The sequence below is a fragment of the Homo sapiens genome, chromosome Y (assembly GCF_000001405.40).
Source record: "Homo sapiens chromosome Y, GRCh38.p14 Primary Assembly".
Taxonomy (NCBI): Eukaryota; Metazoa; Chordata; class Mammalia; order Primates; family Hominidae; genus Homo; species Homo sapiens.
Genome location: NC_000024.10, coordinates 18968025 through 18995283, shown reverse-complemented (window position 1 = coordinate 18995283; position 27259 = coordinate 18968025). Strand labels below are relative to the sequence as shown.

General features: G+C 41.5%; 1 long non-coding RNA gene and 2 pseudogenes across 8 annotated transcripts in view; 2 read left to right on the top strand and 1 right to left on the bottom strand.

Annotated features, from left to right (window-relative positions):
* The window catches only part of TTTY14 (testis expressed transcript, Y-linked 14), a 205047-nt gene that overhangs the window by 82264 nt on the left and 95524 nt on the right, over positions 1-27259 (top strand). The gene's annotated exons all lie outside the window — the stretch shown is intronic.
* On the top strand, positions 2466-4644 carry CD24P4 (CD24 molecule pseudogene 4; annotated as a pseudogene).
* ZNF839P1 (zinc finger protein 839 pseudogene 1) lies at positions 8921-10170 on the bottom strand (annotated as a pseudogene).

Genomic DNA, 27259 nt, shown 5'->3' with positions numbered 1-27259 from the left:
AGCTACAGTAACACTTGCAGTGCGGTAAATTAGTATGGTCAACCATTAGTCCACCCTTTCTGAAGCTGCTCTTCTTTAGAAAAGCTGAGGCAGGTGGATTGCTTGAGGTCAGGATTTCCAGACCAGCCTGGGCAACATGGTGAAACCCCATTTCTACTAAAAGTACAAAAATTAGCCAGGCATGGTGCTACACCCCTGTAATCCCAGCTACTCAGGAGGCCGAGGCACAAGAATCACTTGAACTCCAGAGGAGAAGGTTGCAGTGACTCGAGATCCCGCTACTGCACTCCAGCCTGGGTGAAGAATGAGACTCCATCTCAAAAAAAAAAAAAAAAAAACAGAAAGAGAGAGAGAAAAAGCTGACCTGCGGATATCTTTCACAGTCTCTTTAAAGCCATGTGAATTTGCTTTAACATTGAACGTACTTTCACAGAGCTTGTAAGGTGGTAGTGAGGAGGAAGTATCTTTTTGCTTGTGTGTTTTCTGTGGGCAGGTATGCTTGGGGAGGTCTAAGCTCCTGCTGCTGCTCTCTAGCTTCAGGGCTTGGATGGGAGGCACTGTGTGCATGGTGTTCTCCAAACCATGTGTGTCAGATGTGATCCTTGTCCTGGGTCTTCTAAGGACCAATATTTTGGAGAGTAATTTTGGATCTTCAGTCATGAACTTTATCTTTTCCTCTGATTTTAGAAACATCTCATTCTGTGTTTGAAGTCACTTTCTGCTACATGGTCTAAGATGGCATCTGTTTCCTGTACTGAAATGTGACTGATACACCTTAAATTGAAAGAGTTTTTCACCCTCACCAATAGACCAGGTTGGTGGTACAAGGGCAGCTTTGTCATCCCTCATATGTAAGTTTGCAGGCTGGGTCCCAGTAACTGCCCCACCTCCACAGTGGCCCACAGGGGAGGGGAAGCAAGGGCCCAGTAAGTAATTGGACCCAAAGGAACACATGTCCCTTCTTATCTTCTGCTGGCCATAATCAGTCACCTGATCCTAAACAGCTGCAAAGAAGGTTTAGGAGTTCATTCTTTAGGTGGGAAGCCACCCACCCATCTAAAGCTCCAAATTTGTATTTTTCATAGGAAATGAGAAGAAACGTGGATGGTCTCTGCTGAGCCATTGCTTCATTTTCGTTGAGTGTCTGATTCACCCGTGCTTCTGCTGAGTGGAGTGCACTAAACCATTTGGGGAGTTCTCAGAGGATTGTGCTGCCCTGAGAACAGGATGCCCCTTAGAATTGCTGTTAAAATTACTAGTTTTATTAGCATCAATTATTATTACTATTTTTTCAGATGGAGTCTCACTCTGTCACTAGGCTGGAGTGCAGTGGCATGATCTTAACTCACTGCAACCTCCACTTCCCAGGTTCAATGATTCTCCTGCCTCAGCCTCCCAAATAGCTGGGACTACAGGCGTGCACCACCATGCCCAGTTAATTTTTGTATTTTTAGTAGGGACAGGGTTTCACCATGTTGGCCAGGATGGTCTTGATCTCTTCACCTGGTGATATGCCGGCCTCAGCCTCCCAAAGTGCTGGGATTACAGGCATAAGCTACCATGCCCTGACTTGCATCAATTATTTCACATGCATTCTTGAACGAGCTCTAAGCAGTTTACAAACCTTTATGTTAATGACTCACATACATTAAAATAGAAAATAAATGAAATATCAACAGAAAAATAGTATGTCTTCTAGAAATGAAAGAAGACTTATCAGTTTTAGATGACTGACTCTTCTGTTTACAGATTTTTAAAAAATATTTTAAGTTCTGGGGTAGATGTGCAGAACGTGCATGTTTGTTACATAGGTATTCATGTGCCGTGGTGGTTTGCTGCACTCATCAACCCGTCATCTACATTAGGTATTTTTCCTAATGCTATCCCTCCCCTACCCCCGCACCCCCAAACAGTGCCTGGTGTGTGATGTTCTCCTCCGTGTGTCTATGTGTTCTCATTGTTCAACTCCCACTTATGAGTGAGAACATGAGGTGTTTGGTTTTCCGTTCTTGCCTTAGTTTGCTGAGAATGATGGTTTCCAGTGTCGTCTATGTCCCTGCAAAGGACATGAACTCATCCTTTTTTTATGGCTGCATAGAATTCTGTGTTGCGGGTGGGGGCTTCAGGGCCGCGGAGGGGGTCCCCTTAGGGTGGGCCGTCTCCTCCTCGCCCGCCGCAGGCAGGAGCGCGGGGGACCGAAACCGTGTAGTTTGCAGCGTCAGGCAGCGGGTCCGCGCCCAGCGAGCGGCTCCCCAGCTCCTGGGAGGATGCGGACCCGGGACGCCCCCGTGAGCTCACTGCGCCTGGCTGACACGAGGCGCTCACAGAACAAAGCAAGGGCTTCGGGGAGGGCGCGGCCGCGGGGCCGAGCGCGCAGATCGCTCCGGACCGGGACACCGCCTGCGAGGAGCGCCGACCAGCCGGGAAGGGTTCGCGCTAGGCGGCGCCCGGGTCCCGTCGGCCAGGGTCTCGCCGGCTCGCCGCGCTCCCCACCTTGCCTGCGCCCGCCCGGAGCCAGCGGTTCTCCAAGCACCCAGCATCCTGCTAGACGCGCCGCGCACCGACGTAGGGGACATGGGCAGAGCAATGGTGGCCAGGCTTGGGCTGGGGCTGCTGCTGCTGGCACTGCTCCTACCCACGCAGATTTATTCCAGTGAAACAACAACTGGAACTTCAAGTAACTCCTCCCAGAGTACTTCCAACACTGGGTTGGCCCCAAATCCAACTAATGCCACCACCAAGGCGGCTGGTGGTGCCCTGCAGTCAACAGCCAGTCTCTTCGTGGTCTCACTCTCTCTTCTGCATCTCTACTCTTAAGAGACTCAGGCCAAGAAACGTCTTCTAAACTTCCCCATCTTCTAAACCCAATCCAAATGGCGTCTGGAAGTCCAATGTGGCAAGGAAAAACAGGTCTTCATCGAATCTACTAATTCCACACCTTTTATTGACACAGAAAATGTTGAGAATCCCAAATTTGATTGATTTGAAGAACATGTGAGAGGTTTGACTAGATGATGGATGCCAATATTAAATCTGCTGGAGTTTCATGTACAAGATGAAGGAGAGGCAACATCCAAAATAGTTAAGACATGATTTCCTTGAATGTGGCTTGAGAAATATGGACACTTAATACTACCTTGAAAATAAGAATAGAAATAAAGGATGTGATTGTGGAATGGAGATTCAGTTTTCATTTGGTTCATTAATTCTATAAGGCCATAAAACAGGTAATATAAAAAGCTTCCATGATTCTATTTATATGTACATGAGAAGGAACTTCCAGGTGTTACTGTAATTCCTCAACGTATTGTTTCGGCAGCACTTATTTAATGCCGATATACTCTAGATGAAGTTTTACATTGTTGAGCTATTGCTGTTCTCTTGGGAACTGAACTCACTTTCCTCCTGAGGCTTTGGATTTGACATTGCGTTTGACCTTTTATGTAGTAATTGACATGTGCCAGGGCAATGATGAATGAGAATCTACCCCCAGATCCAAGCAGCCTGAGCAACTCTTGATTATCCATATTGAGTCAAATGGTAGGCATTTCCTATCACCTATTTCCATTCAACAAGAGCACTACATTCATTTAGCTAAACGGATTCCAAAGAGTAGAATTGCATTGACCGCGACTAATTTCAAAATGCTTTTTATTATTATTATTTTTTAGACAGTCTCACTTTGTCGCCCAGGCTGGAGTGCAGTGGTGTGATCTCAGATCAGTGTACCATTTGCCTCCCGGGCTCAAGCGATTCTCCTGCCTCAGCCTCCCAAGTAGCTGGGATTACAGGCACCTGCCACCATGCCCGGCTAATTTTTGTAATTTTAGTAGAGACAGGGTTTCACCATGTTGCCCAGGCTGGTTTCGAACTCCTGACCTCAGGTGATCCACCTGCCTCGGCCTCCCAAAGTGCTGGGATTACAGGCTTGAGCCCCCGCGCCCAGCCATCAAAATGCTTTTTATTTCTGCATATGTTGAATACTTTTTACAATTAAAAAAAAAGATCTGTTTTGAAGGCAAAATTGCAAATCTTGAAATTAAGAAGGCAAAAATGTAAAGGAGTCAAAACTACAAATCAAGTATTTGGGAAGTGAAGACTGGAAGCTAATTTGCATTAAATTCACAAACTTTTATACTCTTTCTGTATATACTTTTTTTTCTTTAAAAAACAACTATGGATCAGAATAGCCACATTTGGAATACTTTTTGTTATCAGTCAATATTTTTAGATAGTTAGAACCTGGTCCTAAGCCTAAAAGTGGGCTTGATTCTGCAGTAAATCTTTTACAACTGCCTCGAAACACAGAAACCTTTTTAAAAATAGACACTCCCCGAAGTCTTTTGTTCGCATGGTCACACACTGATGCTTAGATGTTCCAGTAATCTAATATGGCCACAGTAGTCTTGATGACCAAAGTCCTTTTTTTCCATCTTTACAAAACTACATGAGAACAAACAGATCGAACCGTTTTGAAGCTACTGTGTGTGTGAATGAACACTCTTTTGCTTTATTCCAGAATGCTGTACATCTATTTTGGATTGTATATTGTGTTTGTGTATTTACGCTTTGATTCATAGTAACTTCTTATGGAATTGATTTGCATTGAACACAAACTGTAAATAAAAAGAAATGGCTGAAAGAAAAAAAAAAAAAAGAATTCTGTGTTGCATATGTCCCAAATTTACTTTATCCAGTATATCATTGATGGGCATTTGGGTTGGTTCCAAGTCTTTGCTATTGTGAACAGTGCTGCAATAAATATACATGTGCACGTGTCTTTATAGTAGAATGATTTATATTCCTTTGGGTATATACCCAGTAATGGGATTGCTGGGTCAAATGGTATTTCTAGTTGTGGATCCTTGAGGAATCGTCACACTGTCTTCCACAATGATTGAACTAATTCACACTCCCACCAACAGTGTAAAAGCATTCCTATTTCTCCACATCATGTCCAGCATCTGTTGTTCTCTTTTTCATGATCGCCATTCTAACTGGCATAAGATGGTATCTCATTATGGTTTTGATTTCATTTCTCTAATGACCAGTGATGATGAGCTTTTTTTCATATGTTTGTTGGCCACATAAATATCTTCTTTTGTGAAGTGTCTGTTCATATCTTTCGCCCACTTTCTGATGGGGTTGTTTTTTCCTTGTAAATCTGTTTAAGTTCTTTGTGGATTCTGGATATTAGCCCTTTGTCAGATGGATAGATTACAAAAATTTTCTTCCATTCTGTAGGTTGCCTACTCACTCTGATAATCAGTTTCTTTTGCTGTGAAGAAGCTCTTTAGTTTAATCAGATCCCATTTATTTATTTTGGCTTTTGTTGCCATTGCTTTTGGTGTTTTAGTCATGAAGTCTTTGCCCATACAAATGTCCTGAATGGTATTGCCTAGGTTTTTTTCTAGGGTTTTTATGGTTTTAGGTCTTATATTTAAGTCTTTAATCCATCTTGATTAAATTTTTGTATAAAGTGTAAGGAAGGGATCCAGGTTCAGCATTCTACATATGGCTAGCCAGTTTCCCCAACACCATTTATTAAATAGAGAGTCATTTCCCTATTGCTTATTTTTGTCAGGTTTGTCAAAGATCAGATGGTTGTAGATGTGTGGCATTATTTCTGAGGGCTCTGTTCTGCTCCATTGGTCTTGGTGTGAGTTTGTTTTTTTTAAGCGATAGACCATGACATACCACTCTCCAGCCCTTCTTAAGAAAAATATGGCAGACAAGAGTTCTGTGCAGAAAACATGAGGAAACCCTTCAGCTATGCTGCCCCTTTTCTGAAAGGATCATTGGAATGCATGTGTAGAATCAACAGTAAAGACAATGACCAACACAAATGTAAAAGCTGAGCCAGAGCAGGCGAGACTGAGGTGTTCAGGAACAGGACAGAATAAATTCACATACCTAATATATTTAAAGAAATCTGAGAGGATGTTACTAGCAACCTAAATAAAAACAGAAGCTATGAAAAAAGTCAGGTGTAACATAACTCTAAGAAACATATGATTGCTGAAATTTTAAAAAAGTAAGTGTGGAAAATGAATTATTCTACATCCCTCAGAATGCAGGTCAGGGATGGGAAATACTAATTGAATTGATGGTTACCAGTTTCAGCTTGGTTCTCAGTGTTCCCTGTAATCCTTGTTATAAGGTATAATCAACTGTGGTTCTTCTTACTGATGGCAGTGCTTTCAAACTTTTCCACTGTCCTTTAATTTCTGATCCAACTGTCTTTCCTTCACCAGTTCATCTTTCTTTACAGGGACAACAGATTCTGTCTAATCCAAATTTATTCAGTATCCAACTAATAAATGAAGACTATTACCTCTATTCCCTCATTTTGCTGATAATTACAATAAAGGATCAGTCCTTCTAAGAATAGTAATTTCATAGCTTTCAACTGGTCTTGTCCTTGAAAAGACCTTTTTGTCGTTGAATAGACTTGTTTCCCTCACCCACCCTTTATATTGTACAAAATAGCAATCAAGGGCAACATCCCGCATGCAGTCAGACATCTTTATATAAACTTTTAACTTCCTACAGAATTAATTATTAATAGCCTACTACTTACTGCAAGCCTTACTGATAACAGACATTTGATTAACACATATTTTATGTGTCATATATATTACATACTGTATCCTTAAAGTTAGCTTATGAAAAGATTATTAAGAAAATCATACATTAGATATAATATGCTTATACTGTATTTATTGATAGCACAAGTGGAAATCATCTGTTTACAAGGTGAATTGTCTGTCTGAAATCATGGGCAGCTACAAGCTGCAGACTTCAATCTACCACACATACTAAGCATTTAGCTTTTTCTTCTAACATCATGACTTTTGTGTACTTCTTGGGAGCATTTCCAGCATCATCAGAGGCACTTCTTATGGGTCGCATGGTGTTATTCAATGTTCACATCATGGTATTGCACTAAACACAATGCAAAATATGTGAGCACCATAAGCAAGCACTTGTTACTGTGCTTCACAGTGTCTTGGAGCGGAGAACTGCTCACACAGAGATCATTAGTTCCACATGGCATTTTCAGTGGACCCTTGCATCTCACAACAGGAGATGGCTATGCCATTATTCCAGTAGCACAGAACGTACTACAATTAGTTTGATACAGTTAGGAATTAATATGTCATCTTCATGATTGTTTGCATTTCTCTGGACTGCAGAAGATGGCATGTACTGTCTGTGTGTGTGTGTTTATTTTACTTTTAGCTTTTTATAATTTTATGATATATGTATTTATATATTTATGTATAAGTTTATAGATCTATGTATATTTTATAGTAGTGACAGATGACTTCTACATATATTTTATGCTCTCATGTTACACCAACCTTTAAATATTCAAAAAAATATTTCTAGGCTATGTGGTTCATCTTCAGGTTTTTTCAAATTGTCAACAAATTCCCAAAAAGTTTTCTAATATATTTATTGAAGAAAATTCATATGTAAGAGGACCTACACAGTTCCAACCTATGTTGTTCAAGGGCTTACTGTACTCCAGCCTGGGCGACAGAGCAAGACTGTTTCAAAAAAAAAAAAAAAAAAAAAAAAAAACCTAAAAAAATCACCCCAAAAAATCCAATGTAGCTAAAGCCAATTTGATAATAACAATGATGTTTAAATGAGAATTGTGTCAGAAAAACCACAAACAATAATGAATAGCCCCTATGTAACCTATCCCCAGAAACCCACATAAAGAAGAAAACAGGGCTGGACATGGTGGTTCATGCCTATAATTCCAACACTGTGGGAAGCTGAGAAGGGAGGGTAACTTGAGCCCAAGAGTTGAAGACCAGACCAGATGACATAGTGAGACCCCATCCCTACAAAAAATTAAAGTTGGCTGGGCATGGTGGCACACGCCTATATTCTGAACTACTCAGGAGACTTATGTGAGAGGATTATTTGGAACGAGGAAGTCAAGACTGCGGTGAGCTGTGATTGCACCACTGCACTCCACCTGGGAGACAGAATGAAACTCTGTCTCAAAATAAAAATAAAGAAAAAAAATGACACCTGAGATATTAACTGTGATCATCAGTGAGTGGGAGGATTATGGTTCTTTCCATTTTCTTTTAGCTTATCTTCATTTTTTAGTTTTCTGGAGGATCATTTATTGCACTAAGAAAAAAAAATGGCTGGACTCTGTAGCTCACCCCTGTAATCTCAGCACTTTGGGAGACCCAGATGGGTAGATCATGAGGTCAACAGATCTAGACCATCCTGGCCAACATGGTGAAACCCTATCTCTACTAAAAATACAAAAATTATTAGCTGGGCATGGTGGCAGGTACCTATAGTACCAGCTACTCAGGAGGCTGAGGCAGGAGAATCACTTGAACCCAGGAGTTGGAGGCTTCAGTGAGCCCCAAGATAGCACCACTGCACTCTAGCCTAGGCAATAGAGAAAAAAAAAATTCACTTAATGGGAAAAGGCTAAAACGACGTTGGCTAGTAAAATGTCATTAGTAAAAAACATCCTTCTTCATTAATGGACTTTTTTTCTTTCTTTCTTTCTTTTTTTTTTTTTTTTTTTTTTTTTTTTTTGAGATGGTCTCAGTCCAGGCTCGTTCAGGCTGGAGTGCAGTGGTGCAAACTTGGCTCACTGCAACATCCACCTCCTGGGTTCCAGCGATTTTCCTGCCTTAGCCTCCCAGGTAGCTAGGACTAGAGACGTGCCACCATGCCCAGCTAACTTTTGTGTTTTTCGTAGAGACAGGGTTTTGCCATGTTGGCCACGCTGACCTGGAACTCTTGACCTTATGTGATCCATGTGGCCACTTTGGCCTCCCAAAGTGCTATATTACAAGCATAAGCCACTATACCTGGCCCTTCTTTCTTTTGGCTAACTCTCTGAGCAAAACTCTTTCTGCCATGGGAGATCATTACCTTATCATTGGTCATTTTCAGGATCTTCTGAGAACACAGACCAGAAGTACTGAGGTAATCTTGGCACATTTTCTTAACTATTTTATGCTGCTTTTAAAATACCTTATATATAGCTGGGAAAAAAGGTTTTGCTAGATGATCTTTCAACCTTCATGAAAATAAAGATTTTACTAAAAAGTTTAAACCAAAGGCACTGATGGAAAATACAGAAGAAAACCTAAACAAAGTTTCAGTTCTCAGCCCCTCAGCAGCCACTAAGTGATGGGCATTTCCTTCACTCCCCAGTGAGCACCTATTGTTTGCCCCGCATGGTACAGGGAAGCCAGAATGGGCATGGGAGGAGCAGACCAAGAAACACGCCTTGGGTGGGGGCCACAGAGGGCTTGGGTGAACTCCCAGGACAGGGCGGGAAGGGAAGGCAGAAAGGCTATGAGCATGGGCTGCACTGTCAGCTTTGGAAGGGTGCAGTGACCCTGCATCTGTGGGAAGTATGGGGCACAGGCAGCCTGAGCTGCAGCCTCAGAGTGGACTCATCTCGGGGTCCACCTGGCCATGGCCTGGATTAAGTTTAAAATGATGAGCCCGTCTCCAACTTCCATACATGACTTTGCACAAGTCTGACAAACACTTTTGGGCCTCAGGAACAGCACCTTAAGTCAGAGTGCCTGCTTTTACCTCTGATCTTTGTCATCTTCCACACTGAATTCTGAATAATCATCAGAATCTGACAGATGACCATCCACCAAATCCTCTGTTTTTAGCTTTGTATTTGGGAGGTAGAGATATTTGTCTTGAAGGGTCTACTTTTAATGATTTTTTTTTTTTTTTTAGTTTTTCAGTATGTTTTGTGTGCAAGTTGGAAATAAATGTACTGAACTGATTGAAAAAGATGCTACTGCCAGTGGGTTGGAGGACAAAAAAGGGGTCAATATGGAGCCATGTCCAGTTGGAGCCTTGGGGGCCGGACTCTTTGTAGGGACTGTCTGGAAGGCTGGCAGTAGTCCCTGTACAAATACCTAAGCAGGATGCTGACATAGGTCACTTAGGAACCACGAATGTGGCTCGGTTCTCACTAGGAGCCATACCCTGAGTAGCTGAGGGCTGAAGATAGGAGCCCCACCAGGCAGGAATTCCCCTGTGCGGCTGTCTCTGTCTTGTATTGGGGCTGGTTTGTGACCAGTAGGGTCATTGTCCTTTCCTGACCTTTTGTTTCTCCAGAAGTTACCTTGACACAAATGGCTTCTAATTCTTTACATACACAAAGAAAACAAAGAACAAAGAAACATTGTGTTTATCAACATGTCCACAATTTTGCTTTCATCATAAATCCATTATGGACATTTTTTCTAAATTACATCTTACATATGAAAGTTTATGTAGAGTGTCTGTACTAAGGTGGTGTTTTTAAGACCTTTCTGACCAGACACAGGCTGGGTTTAGTGGCTCATTCCTGTAATCCTGGCACTTTGGGAGTCCAAGGCAGGAGGATCACTTAAGGTCAGGAGTTTGAGGTCACCAGCCTAGCCAACCTGATGAATCTCCATCTGTATTCAAGATACAAAAACTAGGATGATTGTGGTGGCTCACACCTGTAATCCCAGCTCTTGTTATCTCTTAATTGGTCATGAAATCAGCTTAGTGGATTATGACTGTTTTCTTTTTAAGTGATACAGAAGAAGACCAGGTGTGATGGCTCATGCCTGTAATCTCAGTAATTTGAGAGGCTGAGGCAGACGGATCACCTGAAGTCCGAAGTTCGAGACCAGGCTAGCCAACACGGTGAAACCCCGTCTCTACTAAAAATACAAAAAAAAAAAAAAAATTAACTGGGCATGGTGGTAGGCACCTGTACTCCCAGCTGCTCAGGAGGCTGCAGCAGGACAATTGCTTGAACCTGAGAGGTGGAGGTTGCAGTGAGCCGAGATTGCACCATTGCAAGGGTGAGATTTTGTTTCAAAAAAAAAAAAAAAAAGGGAATTACTAACTCTAGGAAAAAGAAAAAAAAAAGAAGAAGACATAATCATTGTAGTCACTGGTTGATCTTTGAATATCATTGAAATCATCATTATAATGGAAACACTGATGATTTCTTAAACCAAATGTTGTGACATAAATATTTAAAGAATATGGTAGGAGAGAAAGGACATTTATGATTCCATGGAAAGGCGTGCAGGAGAGTGTTACAGCCTGAGGGTTTCTTCTTGTCTGCTGCTCCCTGAAAACCCAACACACTGCTAACAGCGGATGTTGCAGCAAAGAAGGAGGTTAATAATTGCAGGGGCAGCTAAGTGAGGGGAATAGGAGAGATTTATCAAATCCGTCTCCCTGAAAAGTTGGAAACTGTGGTTTTTGAAGGTACTTTGGTGGTCAGAAGGCTAGGGAACTGCAACACTTGCAACAATTGGTTGGCTGGGGATGAAATCGAAGGAGTGTCTAAAACTTTCTTTGTGCCCGACCCAGGAGAGGATATCTCAGGACCAGGTAGCATCTCTTGGTCTGTCAAAATGCTAGATCTGAAAAATGTTTCAAAGACCATTCTTGGGTTTTACAATAGTAATGTTATCTATAGGAGTGGTTCAGGAAATTATACTTTTAGTGATCCCTGGTTACATGACTCTGGTGCAGTGAGCAACTTACAGGAAAACACGCTAAGTGATGGCAGGTCATTGATTACTTATGCCTATTGTTTAGCAAAGTTCAAGCCCCTATGGTAATTCTAACCTTGTTTTCTGAATGTGGGTTGAATCTGCAGTCAAGGAGTGGGGTTAGTTTCCTTGCCTCAAAGTTTGACACACACTGTCTCTCTCTGCCTCCCTCCTCTCTCTCTCTTTTTCTCGTGTGTATACAATTATTTATTTACTATTATTTTTTGAGATGCGGTCTTGCTCTGTTTCCCAGTTTGGAATGCAGTGGGCAATCATGACTGGAGCCACCAAGAGCTGGAAGAGGCGGGAAAGATCCTCCCCTAGAGCTTCCAGGGGGAGCTCAGCCCAGCCCTCACCTTGATCTCAGATTCCTTGTTTCCAGTACTGGAAAAGAATAAACACCTGTTACTTTAAGCCACCCCAATTATGGTTATTTGCTACAGCATCCATAGGAATTTAAAACCTAAGAGGTATGAATTCTATTTTGCTGTCAAAAGGCTTCTTCTGTGATAAGTAGATATACCACCTATATAGTTGTATCTTTTTCTCCTCTTCATTGGGATTGGAAGTCAGTTGATGTCTTCAGTCCTCCTATCTCAATGTTAATTTTACTTTCTCTTTAATTCTCTGTTCTAAAACAATCCTTTTTATATTGCTTAATTAAATATCAGTGTCTTTCTCATCAACATGAGACTAAAATCCTTTTTACTTTGGGTCTAGGAAGAAGCAGTATTCTCCTCCTCCTCCTTCTCCTCCCCCTTCTACTCTTCCACCTCTTCCTCATCTTATTCCTCCTCCTCCTCCCCCTTTCCCTCCTCTCGTTTCTTTTTCCTCCTACACTTTCTCCTTCTTCTTATCTGTCTTTTTAGAGATGGAGTCTCTCTCTGCTGCCCAGACTAGAGCGCAGTGGCGTAATCTAGCTCACTTCAGCCTCAAATCTCCTGGACTCAAGTGATCTTCTTACCTCAGCCTGCTGAATAGCTAGGACTACAGGTATGCACCACCATGTCCCCTTTTGTTTTACACTTTTTTGTAGAAATGAGGTCTCACTATGTTGCCCAAGCTGGTCTCAGGCTTCTAACCTCAAGTGATCTTCCTCTATGGCCTTGCAAAGCACTCGGATTACAGGTGTGAGCACTGCACTTTGGCCTGTTGGGTTATGCAGTAGGAGAGCAGGGATGGTGGTAGTGGCTCCATATGGATTCCTGCAAAAAGTGGTGTGGGTGAATACTGGATGCCCCGTTATGTTGGAACTTCTAAATTCCTGAGCTAAATTAGAAAAAAAGAAGCAGCTCTTGAAAGGAATGATGTTGTGAAGGAGAGATGCTTGGAGAAACCAGTATACAACCCTTATAAATAATTTGATACTATTGGTTTTGATGCCTGTTCCTTTTAAACAGTTGTTGATTGAAATGACACAGCCAGTTGGGGTGGCTCAAGCCTGTAATCCCATTACTTTGGGAAGCGGAAGTGGGTGGATCACCTGAGATCAGGAGTTCAAGACCAGCCTGGCCAACATGGTGAAACCCCATCTTTACTAATAATACAAAAATTAGCCAAGTGTGGTGGTGCACATTTGTAATCCCACCTACTCAGGAGGCTGAGGCAGGAGAGTAGCTTGAACCTGGGAGGCGGAGGTTCCAGTGAACCAAGATTGAGCCATTGCACTCCATCCTAGGTGACAAGAGCAAAACTCCATCTCCAAAAACAGCAAAGAAATGATGCATGACTCCAGCTGATCTTTTCCAGTTAAATTGCCCTAGAACATCAGAGTTTCTCAGATAAATTGATGTGGAATTTCAGAATAGGTGGTAATGTCTAAAATAGTAATGTCCAACATTCACCTCAGTGTGGGGAAACTGGTTGTGGCCAGGGGTGGTTGCAAGCTGAGTTGTATGGGTGACAGAGTTCATCTGATAAACAAAAAAACATGTGAGTACTGGTTTGTGAGGATTGATTTCACAGACAAATAGTGACCATGGAAGTCAGTGTTTAAAAAACAAATAGATTTGGCCAGGCGCAGTGGCTCACACCTGTAACCCAGCACGTTGGGAGGCTGAGGCGCATGGATCCCGAGGTTGGGAGATCAAGACCATCCTGGCCAACATGGTGAAACCCTGCCTCTACTAAAAATGGAAAAATTAGCTGGGTGTGGTGGCACACACCTGTAATCCCAGCTACTCAGGAGGCCGAGGCAGGAGAATCGCTTGAACCCTGGAAGGGGAGATTGCAATGAGCCAAGATTGTGCCACTGCACTCCAGCCTGGTGACAAAGCAAGACTCTGTCTTAAAAAAAAAAAAAAAGATTCAGGCCATAAGTTTGCAGGTTTGTTGCAAGATATATTGCTTAGTGAGGGGTGTTGGCCTTCTAGTATATCTATCTCCCAAACAGTGAACATAATACCAGATAGGTAAGTTTTCAACCCTCACACCCTCCCACCTTTCCCCATTTTAAGGTGTCCAGGGTCTGTTATTCCATTTTATAGGTACATGAATACCCATTGTTTAGCTCCACTTTTTAAGTGGGAACATACGGTATTTGATTTTCTGTTTCTGAGTTCTTTCACGTAGGATATTGGCCTGCAGCTGCATTTATCTTGGTGCAAAATACAGTTTCATTTTTCTTTTATAAATGCATAATATTCCTTGGTGTGTGTATACCACATTTTCTTTATCCAGTAAACACTAAGGTTCATTCCATGATTTTGCTATTGTGAATTGTGCTGCAATAAACATAAAACAGGAAGGTGTCTTTTTTTTTTTTTTTTGATGGAATTTTGCTCTTTCACACAAGCTGCTAAATCGTGAAGTGGCATGATCTCAGCTCACTGCAACCTCCACCCTCTGGGTTCAAGCGATTATCCTGCCTCAGCCTCCCAAGTTGCTGCAATTATAGGCATCTGCCATCATCCCCGGCTAATTTTTGTATTGTTAGTAGAGATGGGTTTTTGTCATGTTGGCCAGGCTTGTCTCAAACTCCTGACCTTGAGTGATCCACCTGCCTCAACCTATCAAAGTGCTGGGATTATAAGCATGACCCACTGCTCCCGGCCACAGGTGCCTTCTATGATAGTTCATTTTTGTTTGGGTAGATAGCCAGTGGTGGAGTTGCTGTGTCAAAATTAGCTCTGTTTTAAGTTCTTTGACAAATCTGCATACTGTTTTCCGTAGAGGTTGTACTAATTTATATTCTCACCGACAGTGTATAAGCATTCGCTTCTCTCTGTGTTCTTTCCAACATCTGTTGCTTTTGGAAATCAGTGTTTTTCTATGAGGCCTTCATATTGGCTGTGAATGAAAGTGATAACTTGAAAGACAGTCTATTTTTGGACAAGCATAGAGGGGAATGGGAATGGTCAGGAAACACACTGGAATTGTAGGAGAGCTTGTTATTTTGATCTGACTTGAGCTCATGAAATGGAGTAGCCTCTTCATGGAACAAAGTTTCCTCCCTTGTAATGGTAGTTGCCAGAGGCAGTAACAGTGAAATACATTAAAAAAGTGAAAGCCAGAGGAATCATTTGATTAGAACTTTCAGTGGCTTTGAGTCGCTATACCAAACAGCTCAATTATGTTATCTCTGCTGTGAAAAAAACACCTTTTTCTCATGTGTACATCTCTTGAACACAGTCTCACATAAAACATGCCCTAATTACATGGTCCCTGTTAGACACTATACCAGGGAGTGCTTGACTTTGATGTTGCCCCGATTGTCTGAAGTCTACAAAAATCTCCTGCAGGCAGAGCTTAAACCTCCTGCTTCCATGGAACCAATGCATTCAAAGGTTGTAAGCCACCTTTGAGATTTTTTAGGCTGGCTACCTAGTCGTATGTAGGAGAAAGATGAAGTCTAACGAAGCCAAGTGATTTTCAGCCACACAATGTGTACCTTGGTCTAGGGTCAGGTTATTCAGCTTCCTACTACACCAGGTTTTAGAATACAATTTTTATTAGGTGGGATTTAATTAATGTAGTTGTATAAATTTAAAGAAAAAATACGTGTTACCGATATAAGACATAGAGATTATATATGTATTTATATACGTAAGAGAAATAGATGGACAGATGGATAGATTGATGGATAAATGGTTGATAGAAAAATATGTACATAGCCAGGTATGGTGGCTCACACCTGTAATCCCAGCACTTTGGAAGGCCACGGTGGGTGGATCACGAGATCAGGAGATTGAGACCATCCTGGCCAACAAGATGAAACACCATCTCTACTAAAAATAGAAAAATTAGCTGGGCATCGTGGTGCGTACCTATAGTCCCAGCTACTCGGGAGGCTGAGGCAGGAGAAGCACTTGAACCCAGGAAGCAGAGGTTGTAGTGAGCCGAGATTGGCTACTACACTCCAGCCTGGAGACAGAGTGAGACTCCTTCTCAAAAAAATATATATATATAAAGTAAAATAAAACAAAATTATAAAATAATAAAATTGTGTCTGCAACTGAGTGAGGTGGCTTATGCCTGTAATCCCAGCACTTTGGGAGGCAAAGGTGGGCAGATCATGAGGTCAGGAGATGAAGACCATCCTGGCTAACATGGTGAAACCTCCTGTAGACTAAAAATACAAAAAATTAGCCGGGTGTGGTGGTGTGCACCTGTAGTCCCAGCTACTTGGGAGGCTGAGGCCGGAGAATCACTTGAACCTGGGAGGCACTGGTTGCAGTGAGCCAAGATCGCATCACTGCACTCCAACCTAGGCAACAGAGCAAGACTCCCATCTCAAAAAAAAAAAAAAAGATTATGGCTGCATATGGTTTCTTGTCTGGCGAGTTTTGCATATTAGGTATTTATATTGAGAATTTCAGATAAACTCCTGAATTAATTCTGCAGGCAAAAAAATTGGTGTTAGCACCATGTGATTACTTGAATGCATGTAATAACAGCATTTTAATATGCTTACAGCAAGGGGGATGAGACCATACCAAGGATGTACTTGGTTGTTTTTAAGGTTAAAAATACCAAGACAGCTGGGCACAGTGGCTCACTCCTGTTGTCCCAGCAGTTTGAGAGGCTGCGCTAGGTGGGTCACTTGAGCTCAGGAATTTGAGACCGTCCTGGGCAAAGTGGCAAAACCCGTCTCTACAAAATATACAAAAATTAAACAGGTATGCTGGTGCCTGCCTGTAGTCCCAGCTACTTGGGAGGTTGATGTGGGAGGATCTCTGGAGCCTCGGAAGTCAAGGCTGCAGTGAGCGAGATCGTGCTCCAGTCTGGGTGACAAAGTGAGACCTTGTCTCACAAATAAAAATCAAAAAAATAAAAATAAAAAATCGAGGTAGGAGCAGACATTTCCAAAGAAATAAAATGTCCTCATATGGGGATTATTGATGTACTAGTCTATTCTCACACTCCTAATAAAGACATACCTGAAACTGGGTAATTTACAAAGGAAAGAGTTTTAATGGACCCACAGTTCCACGTGGCTAGGGAGACCTCACAATCATGGCACAAGGCAAATCAGGGACAAAGTTATATCTTACTTGGTGGTGGACAAAAGAGTGTGTGCAGGGGAACTGCCTATTGTAAAACCATGAGATCTCATGATATACATTCACTATCAACAAGGACAGCACAGGAAAAACCCACCCCAATGATTCAGTTACCTCCCACCAGGTCACTTCCACCACACGTAGGGATTATTACAATTCAAGGTGAGATTTGGGTGGGGACACAAAGCCAGACCATATCAATTGATAATTAGCACATTAAGAGGAAAAGGGTGAATTGATTGACTAAGACAGCCTGCATGTTTCCCTCAGGTTGATTATTAACACAGTTTTCCTCCTGACCTCCTTATCTTTTTAATTTTTTTTTATTGATACATTATAGATGCACACATGTTGGGGGTACATGTGTTTGTTAAATACATTCATATAATTTGTAAAGATCACATCAGTGTGATCAGGATATTCATAAACTTAAATGTTTGCCTTTTCTTTATGCTAGAAACATTTATTTTCTTCTAGCTATTTTGAAATGTATAATAGATTATTGTAAACTACAGTCACACTGCTGTTCTATTGAACACTAAGTCTTATTTCTTTTATCAAACTGTATATTTCCAAGGTGGGAGGATTGCTTGAGCCTCGAAGTTTGAGACCAGACTGGGCAACCTAGTGAGACCCTGTCTCTACAAAAAATACAAAAATCAGCCTGGCATGGTGGCACTCAGCTGTAGTCCCAGCTACTAGTCAGGCTGAGGTGGGAGGATCACTTGAGCCCAGGAGTTTCAGGTTACTGTGAGCTATGATCACACCACTGCACTTCTGTCAGAGCAACAGAGCAGAATCCTGTCTCCAAAGAACAAAAATCAGACAAACAAAACCCTTACATATTTGTACTCATTAATCAAACTATTTTTATCTCCCTTCTCTGCTCCCTTTCCCAGCCTCTGGTAGCCACCAGTCCACTCTCTATCTCCATGAGGTCCCGTTTTTATGCTCCCACATGTGAGTGAGAACATGCAATATTTTTCTTCTGTACTTGCCTTATTTCTCTTACATAATGAGCTACAGTTCCATTCATCAGGCCTCCTTTTTCATAGAGGATTTATGTTAGAAAACTTGGAATTGTGAGTTCTTTCTATACCTATTTGTGATGCAAATCTTCTAGCTTCTTTCTAGTTTTACAACCTAGGAATGCCTTTTGGAAGACTTGAGAGCCATCCCTTTAAAATGTAATAATTGAAGGAGATGACACATCTGTCTCTCAGTCTTTGTAGAAGGATGGGTTCCTAGTTTTGGAAAAATTCCAACAAGCCAACACGGATAGCTTTACCACTCTTTCCCTTTCTCCCCTCCCCTTTGCTTTTCTTTTTTTTTCCCCCCCCTTTTCTTTACTTTTGTTTGTTTGTTTTTTGGATGGAACCTCGCTCTGTCCCCCAGGCTGGTCTTCAATGGTGCGATATCGGCTTACTGCACCCTCGGGTTCAAGAGATTCTTCTGCCTCAGCCTCCCAAGTAGCTGGGATTACAGGCACACGCTACCACACCCTGCTGATTTTGTATTTTTTGTAGAAATGGGGTTTCACCATGTTGGCCAGGCTGGTCTCTTAACTCCTGACCCCAAGTGATCTGCCTGCTTCGGTCTCCCAAAGTGCTGAGATTACAGACATGAGCCACCGCACCCAGCCCACACTTATTTTTGAAAAGCAATTCTTGATTTCATTTATTTAAAAAGGATCCTCTCTTCCTTCTGTTACAGTGATGTGTGTGTGTGTGTGTGTGTCTTAAATAGCAAATTGAATCAAATTGATGGCACCCACAGTAGCATTTTTGGAAACTTAATAACTTAGAAGTCAATGATTTTTGACATTCTGGTGTTCTCTCTTAGACCCTCATGTGAGGTTTAGCTGGTGGGTGAAAATGCATGAATGGTAATATTTTTTTCAATGAAAGGAGCTGTCTGGTACAGAGAACCCATCTGTGTAATTACTGTTGCATCCTGGGTCAGCTGGGTGTGCTTAGAATGTGAGAAAAAAGTTATCCTATCATTTCCAGGTGAGCTCAACCAGAGGTGAATGAAACTGGCTTAGTCACCTGCTTGGGGTACAAATTAAGACTGCATCTTGAAGAGAAGCTATTACAAGGGTGTGTGGGGAGTGCAGTGAGTAGTGTGGGGTCTTACACTCCACTTGGACTGATTTAGAGTTTAAAAATAAGGCAACACTGCAAGGTGCAGTGGCTAATACCTGTAACCCGGCACTTTGCGGGGCTGAGGTGGGTGAATCATGAGGTCAGGAGTTTGACACCAGCCTGGCCAACATGGTGAAACCCAATTTCTACTAAAAATACAAAAATTAGCTGGGCCTAGTGCCAGGCATGTGTAATCTCGGCTACTCGGGAGACTGAGGCAGGAGAATTGCTTGAACCCAGGAGCTGGAGGTTGCAGTGAGCTGAGATCACAGCACTGCACTCTCGCCTGGGTGACAGCAAGACTCTGTCTCAAACAAACAAAGGCAACATTTTCTCCCATTATTTTTAGTCAATTTTTAAGGTTTGAATGCTTTTTTTAAATTTAATTATACTTATTTTTCTGTTTGCCAGACATCATGCGAGGCCCTGAGGATGCAAAATAGAATAGTCTTCCATGTAGAGATTCTAAATTAAAGAAAACAGCAGGCAGACAGACAAATGAAAAGTCAGCAATGGCTGAATGGTGATGTGTGATTGCTTGCAAAGCATGGAGATCTGCATTCAATACCCAGGACAACCTTCGAAATCAAAGGACCTATGAAATTGAGTCATGTGTTTTATTTACTTTTCGCATGTTATTTGTTTCTTTAGTATTTCCAATATTCTCTGCTTCCTCCAGGAACAGAGTAATATTCTGTTGTTATTCTGTTCTGGGAGCAACTCAAAATTTGTAAAACAGAAGGCTCTCCTTAATACCATCCCAAAGCCACCTGTCAATTGGGATAACTAGTTAAGTGCCTTCCCTTTTTCCTCTTTCCTGGACCCACCTGTAGCCAAGTATCTTCTCAAACAATTGAGAAGACTCAGTCAGCTGAGTCTTTCAACTGCCTTTTGAGAATGTCTTTTTAGAGTATGCAGATGGAGTTTGAAAGTGATCTACTGAAGTTTTTGTTACTGTGAGGAAGAATATAACGGACAATGTCAGTGCTTAACTTTCTTATTCTTTCTGATGTGTTGGTTAAAAATTATCTTTTGAAAATCATTTTTTCAATTTCTAACAGCATTGTCAGCCTTATTTACTATATCTTATATAACAGCCACTCAGGGCCAGGAGTGGTTGTTCATGCCTGTAATATCAGCACTTCAGGAGGCTGAGGCAGGAGGATGGTTTGAGGCCAAGAGTTCAAGACCAGTCTGGGACACATAGTGAGACTCCATCTCTACAAAAAAATTTTAAATGTTAGCCGGATGTGGTGGTGTGTGCCTGTAGTCCCAGCTGCTCAGCAGGCTAAGTTGGGAGCATCGCTTGAGCCCAGGAGTTCAGGGCTTTAGTGAGCTGTGATTACACTGCTGCACTCCAGCCTGAGTGACAGTGTGAGACCTCGACCCTAAAAAACAAACAAACAAAACTCACTCAAAATGTGGTCAAAACCCACATCAGTTTGGAAAGGGTGAAGATGTGTATCTGTGGAGATGTACTCAGTAATACATTTATTGAAGCAACAGTCTTGTGGAAAGAAGCACAGGCATGAAAGAACATGCCCTAGGTTCTGAAAATGTTTCCAGAAGTCAGAACAGCACCTACGAGTATGCGGATAGCTCTAAGGAGATTACTTTAGAAGAGTCAAGATTATCTGTGTACTTTCACGGATTTAAACAAAATATGTGTATTTTAGAATGGTCAGTGTTGCCCCATAAATGTCATGCTTGGTACTCCCCAGTGCTAATAGTGTCTGTGACTCTCTGTACAGAGAGTTTTCTGTACAGAAAACGCAGGTCTTAAAATGGAAGTTTTGGTGTTGGTCCTAATGGCTCACGCCCATAATCCCAGCAGTTTGTGAGGCTGAGGCTGGAGGATGGCTTGAGCCCAGGAGTTGGAGATTAGCCTGGGCAACATAGCAATATCCTGAGTCTACAAAAAAATTTCAAAACTTAGCTGCACATCGTGTTGAACACCTAGTCTCAGCTACTCTGGAGGCTGAGGTGAGAGGATTGCTTGAGTCCAGGAGGTTGAGGCTGCTGCGAGCCATGATTATACTACTGCCTTCCAGACGGGGAGATAGAGCAAGACCTTGGGTCAAAAAAAAAGGAGAAGAAACTTAAACTAACACATTTCTGCATTCTTTTTATTCTTTTTATTTGTCTCATACTACCAAATGGTAAATGAAGACATTTCATTTTCTTTACTCAATCCTCCAATAAAAATATGCTGGAGAATCAGATGCCTTTTGTGTTTGTTATTGTTTCTGATTTGGGGATGACAAACCATTCTAACCCCTCTATGTTCATTGCCTAAGTGTATTTTACGTACCAAATTTTCTTGAATTATTCAGAATTAATGACTTACATTGTTTGTTTCATGTACAAATATGTTGAGCATAGGTCTAAGCTAGGTGGTATATATTTTTTCCTGGCCTCCTAAAATTTCATAAGCTTTAGGAATATTTTTATGTTTTCTTTATTATGAAATTAACATGAATGCCTTTTGGAACTGGTGATCTCCTGGGGAAGATAGAGTTATATGCTTATAAATAAATAATAACCCAGGTTCAAGGATCACATAAACTCTCTACAAAGAAAGTACCACAAGAAGTCAACAGAAGACTGAATTAAAGATGTACCTGTTGGCTGGCATGGTGGCTCACACCTGTAATCCAGCATTTTGGGAGGTCGACGCAGGCAGATCACTTGAGGTCAGGAGTTTGAGACCCACCCTGGCCAACATGGTGAAACCTCATCTCTACTAAAAAATACAAAAATTAACTTTGGGAGGCGGAGGTGGGCGGATCAGGAGGTCAGCAGATCGAGACCATCCTGGCTAATACTGTGAAACTCCGTCTTTACTAAAAATACAAAAAAAATTAGCTAGGCCTGGTGGTGGGCACCTGTAGTTCCAGCTTCTCAGGAGGCTGAGGCAGGAGAAAGGTGTGAACCCGGGACACAGAGCTTGCAGTGAGCAGAGATCACGCCACTGCACTCCAGCCTGGGCGAAAGAGCGGGACTCTGTCTCAAAAAAAAAAAAAAAAAAAAAATTAGCTAGGCATGGTGGTAGGCACCTGTATCTCAACTATTTGGGAGGTTAAGGCAGGAGAACCATTTGAGCCTGGGAGAGAGAGATTTCCGTGAGCCGAGATTGCACCATTGCACACCAGGGTTCCAGCCTGGGCAACAGAGCAAGACTCCATCTTTAAAAAAAAAAAATTGTATTTATTAAGTACCAAAAGCCACTGTGTGAAGAAAGTCAACCATAAGTGTTTTTATCAATGATTAAATTTTCATTTTTTAGCCTTTACACCTTGTTTTCTATCCCATCCCACAAATTTGAGCAGCTGTGTATCTGCAGTATCTAACTAACTGTGTGAGAAGGATAATTAGCCAATATAATATTATCTCCAACAATAATTTGGCTGTTTTGCCACATAGGATGAGCACTTTCATGGTGTCTACTCATAAGTCAATACTTCTTCTCTTGAGTTTAAAAGACATTCAAAGAAATTTAGAGTGCATGAATTTAATATTTTCTCATTTTCCTACTTCTTGATAAAAACTTTTGAAACACTTGCACTATATTGACCTTTAAAGATGTCCTTATGAGGGAGAAGTTTCCTTTTTGTTTTTTGTTTGTTTGTTTGTTTTAGACAGGGTCTTGTTCTGTTGCACAGGCTGGAGTGTTGAGGTTCCATCACAGCTCACTGCAGCCTCCACTCCTGGGCTCAAAATATCCTCCTGCTTCAGCCACCTGCATAGCTGAGCCTACAGACTTTGCCACTGTGCCTGGCTAATTTATTTTATTTGACTTTTTGTAGAGATGGTGCCTTCCTATGTTGTATAGACTGGTCTCAAACTGTTACGCACAAGCGCTCTTCCTACCTTAGCATCCCAACGTGCTGGGATTACTAGTGTGAGCCACCATGCCCTGCCCCAAAGTAGAAGTTAGATCCAATGCTCCCTCAGGGAGGAATCCTTCTTCATTTTAAAGTTCTACTTTCCCTTATTCCAGAGTCAAGTATTTTAAGAAAATTAACATACCATTTTCCCTTTTGATTACCTAATTCTTCTGTTTGTCCCTCAGAATACATTACCAGGCATATAACCAAATATGGTAATAATTAGACACTTTCCAAGTATTTGCTGTGATAAATAAATGTATTTATTCATTGGCATTTCATCTTGGCAAGTAAAGAAGCTAAAAACCATTATTTAAGCAGTTAACACATGATATATTGTTAAAGGGACAAAGTCACATGTTGGAAATCATTTACAAAGCAAACTTAATATCCAAATATGCTTAATGCTTAATCTTTTAAGACTTAATTGTTTTCTTCCATTGTTAAGCATCAGTGCACCTGAGCATATTCTTTTCCTTTTCTTTCTTTCCTTTTTTTTTTTTTTTTTTTTTTTGAGACAGGGTCTGTCTTTGTCATCCAAGCTTGAATGCAGCGGCCTGAACATGGCTCACTGCAGCTTCAACCTCCCAGCCTCAAGCAATTTTCCTGCCTCAGCTTCCCAAGTAGCAGGAACTACAGACATGCACCACGACATCTGGCTAATTTTTAATTTTTTTTGTAGAGACGGAGTCTGGCTATGTTGCCCAGGCTAGTCTTGAACTCTTGGGCTCAAGTGATCCCCCCCACCACACAGCCTCCCAAAATGCTGAGATTACAGGCATAAAGCTATCATGCCCAGGCCACCTGGGCCTTTCTAAAACACATCCCAGTTTCTCATGAGAACAAAGAGGGTTTTCTCATTCTACCACAAATACAGCTTCCCCCGAAGAGAAGCGGGTGGACTAGCAAGGTAGAAATGGTTCCAAATGATGGATGACTGCATGCTTGGCATTGACAATGAGGACCAGCCTTCTGAAAGCTGCCTTGGCAATAACATCTACTAGCAGAGACTGTTTCATGGAAAGATGCTGGCCCTGGGTCCCCTTTTCTGGTTCTTAAAGGGTTCAGCATGAGAAACTATCAGTCAGATAGGGAGAGAGAAGGTTTGACATTGTGGTTCAGAGCTGTAGTCCCAGCACTTTGGGAGGCTGAGGTCAGTGGATCTCCTGAGCTCAGGAGTTCAAGACCACCTTGGGCAACATGGTGAAACCCCCTCCAAAAAATTACTGTGCATGATGGTGTGAGCCTGTAGTCCCAGCTACTTGGGAGGCTGGAGCACAAGAACTGCTTAGGTCCCAGAGGTGAAGGTTGCAGTGAGCTAAGATCATGCCAGTGCACTCCAGCTTGGGCTACATAGTGAGACTCCATCTCAAAAAAAAAAAAAAAAAACACAGAAATGTAGACACTTTCTTTTCCTGAGATGAAAATTTGATTGTATAAATAATAAATATAGTTACAGAACAGCCAAAATCATGGTACTTTAAATGTATCAAAGCTAAAGCCAATTCTCTTTTCTGATGGAAACATGAGGTTGTAATATCTCCATGTGGCTGCTGGAATTGTGTGTGCAGTGCTTATGGAAAGAGTGGAGGCAAGACAGCTTCTTAGGAAGTTGAAATATATAAATTTGAATGAGTCTAGAGCCCCTGAGCCCACGTTCATATTTGAACTTTGGTATTCACATTCCCCTTCATTGGGCTCTTGAAATACATCAAAATTAATTATCCAAGACCCATTTTGTTTCAAAAATGCTGTAAGCCTGGGCACGGTGTCTCACACCTGTAATCCTAGCGGTTTGGGAAGCTGAGGCGGATGGATCACTTGAAGTCAGGGGTTTGAAACCAGCCTGGCCAACATGGTGAAACCCCTTCTCTACTAACAATACAAAAATTAGCCAGGTGTAGTGGTGCATGCCTGTAATCCCAGCTAGTTGGTAGGCTGAGGCAGGAGAATCACTTGAACCCAGGATATAGATGTAGCAGTGACATGAGAACGTGCCACTGCACTCAAGCCTGGGTAACAGAGCGAGACTGCATCTCAAAAAATAAATGCTGTAAGCAGGAAAAAAAATCAGAGGTGGTTACATAGATGCTAAATTTTCTTCATTGTAAATTTTTGGAAATTTGAAATCCATACAAAATTAAACACAAACCACTGAGACTATCCCATGAAACCCATGATATATTGTGTTTGAAGTGTTTTACATTTCCCTTCTATCTAGTTTTCAACTTAAAGAATAATCAGATCATCTTTCATAATTCAGTGTAATAGAATTTTTTATTTGTAGACCTTCTTTGATATTAATTTGCAATGTCACAAAATTTCTCAGCATGGACTCTTAAAAACCAGCTATGAACATAGTAGATTCCAAATACATTTGCAAAATGGAGTTTCCATTTCTGTGGTCCAAAGCAATTGATTTAGAGGAACAGCAACAAATTTACTGTTGAGATCTAATGGATGAGGGCTAAACAGCTTAAATAACCATTTTTCTAGAGTTCAATATGGTCAGTCACTGATCAAAATGGAACAGAAATGAAAATATGAAAGAGAAAAGATGTGACTAAGAAGATGGAGAAAGTTAGAAAAAAATCAAAGGTCAGAGAGAAAGACAGTAGAGGGACAAGTTGAAAGGAGAAATTTTAAACCAGCTGCCACAAAACACAACTTCTTATGCTGTCAGCATGGAAAACGATTTCCTAAGGAATAAAATACTTTTATTTTCTGTGTATTATGGGCTACGCTGTGTTGACTATTTGTAGAAACATGTTGTTCTGCCTTGAGCTAAAACAGAACACAGACCAATAGCTTAGGGGAAACAAATTCTCCTACCAAGGTATGACTGCTCTTAGCATCTGCTTCTACAGAAAAGCAGTGCTGAGTTCTGGACAGAATGTTGGCCTGGGTTTTGGAAATTCTGGTCTCAGCATCCAACTTTACAATTTTAGGCTGTGTAAACTAAGAATTATCTTCTGGTAGTCATTTCTTCAGTTGTACAATGGAAGTGATACACACAGAGAGAGATACATATATAAAGAGAGAATAAAGTGTAAACTAAGAATTATCTTCTGGAAGCAATTTCTTCAATTGTACAATGGAAGGGATACACTCAGAGAGAGAGAAAGAGTGAGAGAATTATTATTATTAGAGAAGTTTCTTGGCAAATATTTGAAGAGTGAGTTTTGCTCATTTAGCTCAGTCAACCTCCACTGAATGGCTAAGCTCTAATTCTAGGAGAGTCTTTCTTTCTCCTCTCTTTTTTTAATTATTCGAGACATGATCTTTCTCTGTTGTCCAGATTGGAACACAATGGTGTAATTCTGGCTCACTGTACCCTTGACCTCCTGGACTCAAGCAATCCTCCCACATCAGTCTCTCGAGTAGCTGGGACTATAGGCACACACAACCACATCCAACTCATTTTTATTTATTTATTTTTATTTATTTATTTATTTATTTATTTATTTATTTATTTATTTATTTGTAGAGTCATGGGTCTCACTTTGTTGCCCAGATGGGTCTCAAACTCCTGCATTCAAGCAATCTTCCTACCGTGGCCTCACAAAATGCTGGAATTATAGATTTCTTAATGTTTACTTTTGCTCCCTCCTAGAGCTGGAAAAGGAGCCTTAACTACTAGGATTCTCATTGTGTTAGAACTATTGCCCTTTACCTGGACATCTGTCCTTAAAATCCACTTACTATTGCATTAGCAATGGTACATTTTTAACAAGTATGGCTAGGGATGGTGACTCATGCCTGTAATCCCAGTACTTTGAGAGATCAAGGCAGGTGGATCTCTGAGCTCAGAAGTTCAAGACCAGTCTGGGCAACATAGTGAAACTCTGTCTCTACTCAAAATACAAAAATTAGCTGGGTGAGGTGGCAGTCCAAAGCAATTGATTTAAAGACAACAGGTACATACCTGTTTTCTCAGCTACTCGGGAGGCTGAAGTGGGATGATTGCTTGAGCTCAGGAAGTCAAGGCTGCAGTGAGCTGAGATTGTACTGTACTCTAACCTAGACTCTATATCAAAACAAAATAAAACAAGTATATCAGACCTGTGGAATAGGTTCTCATTTTCTGGTGCAGCTTAGCCCAACAGTATTGAAAGGCTATTCCATGATGCAGCACCTCCAGCAGGATCAGAGACCCCAAA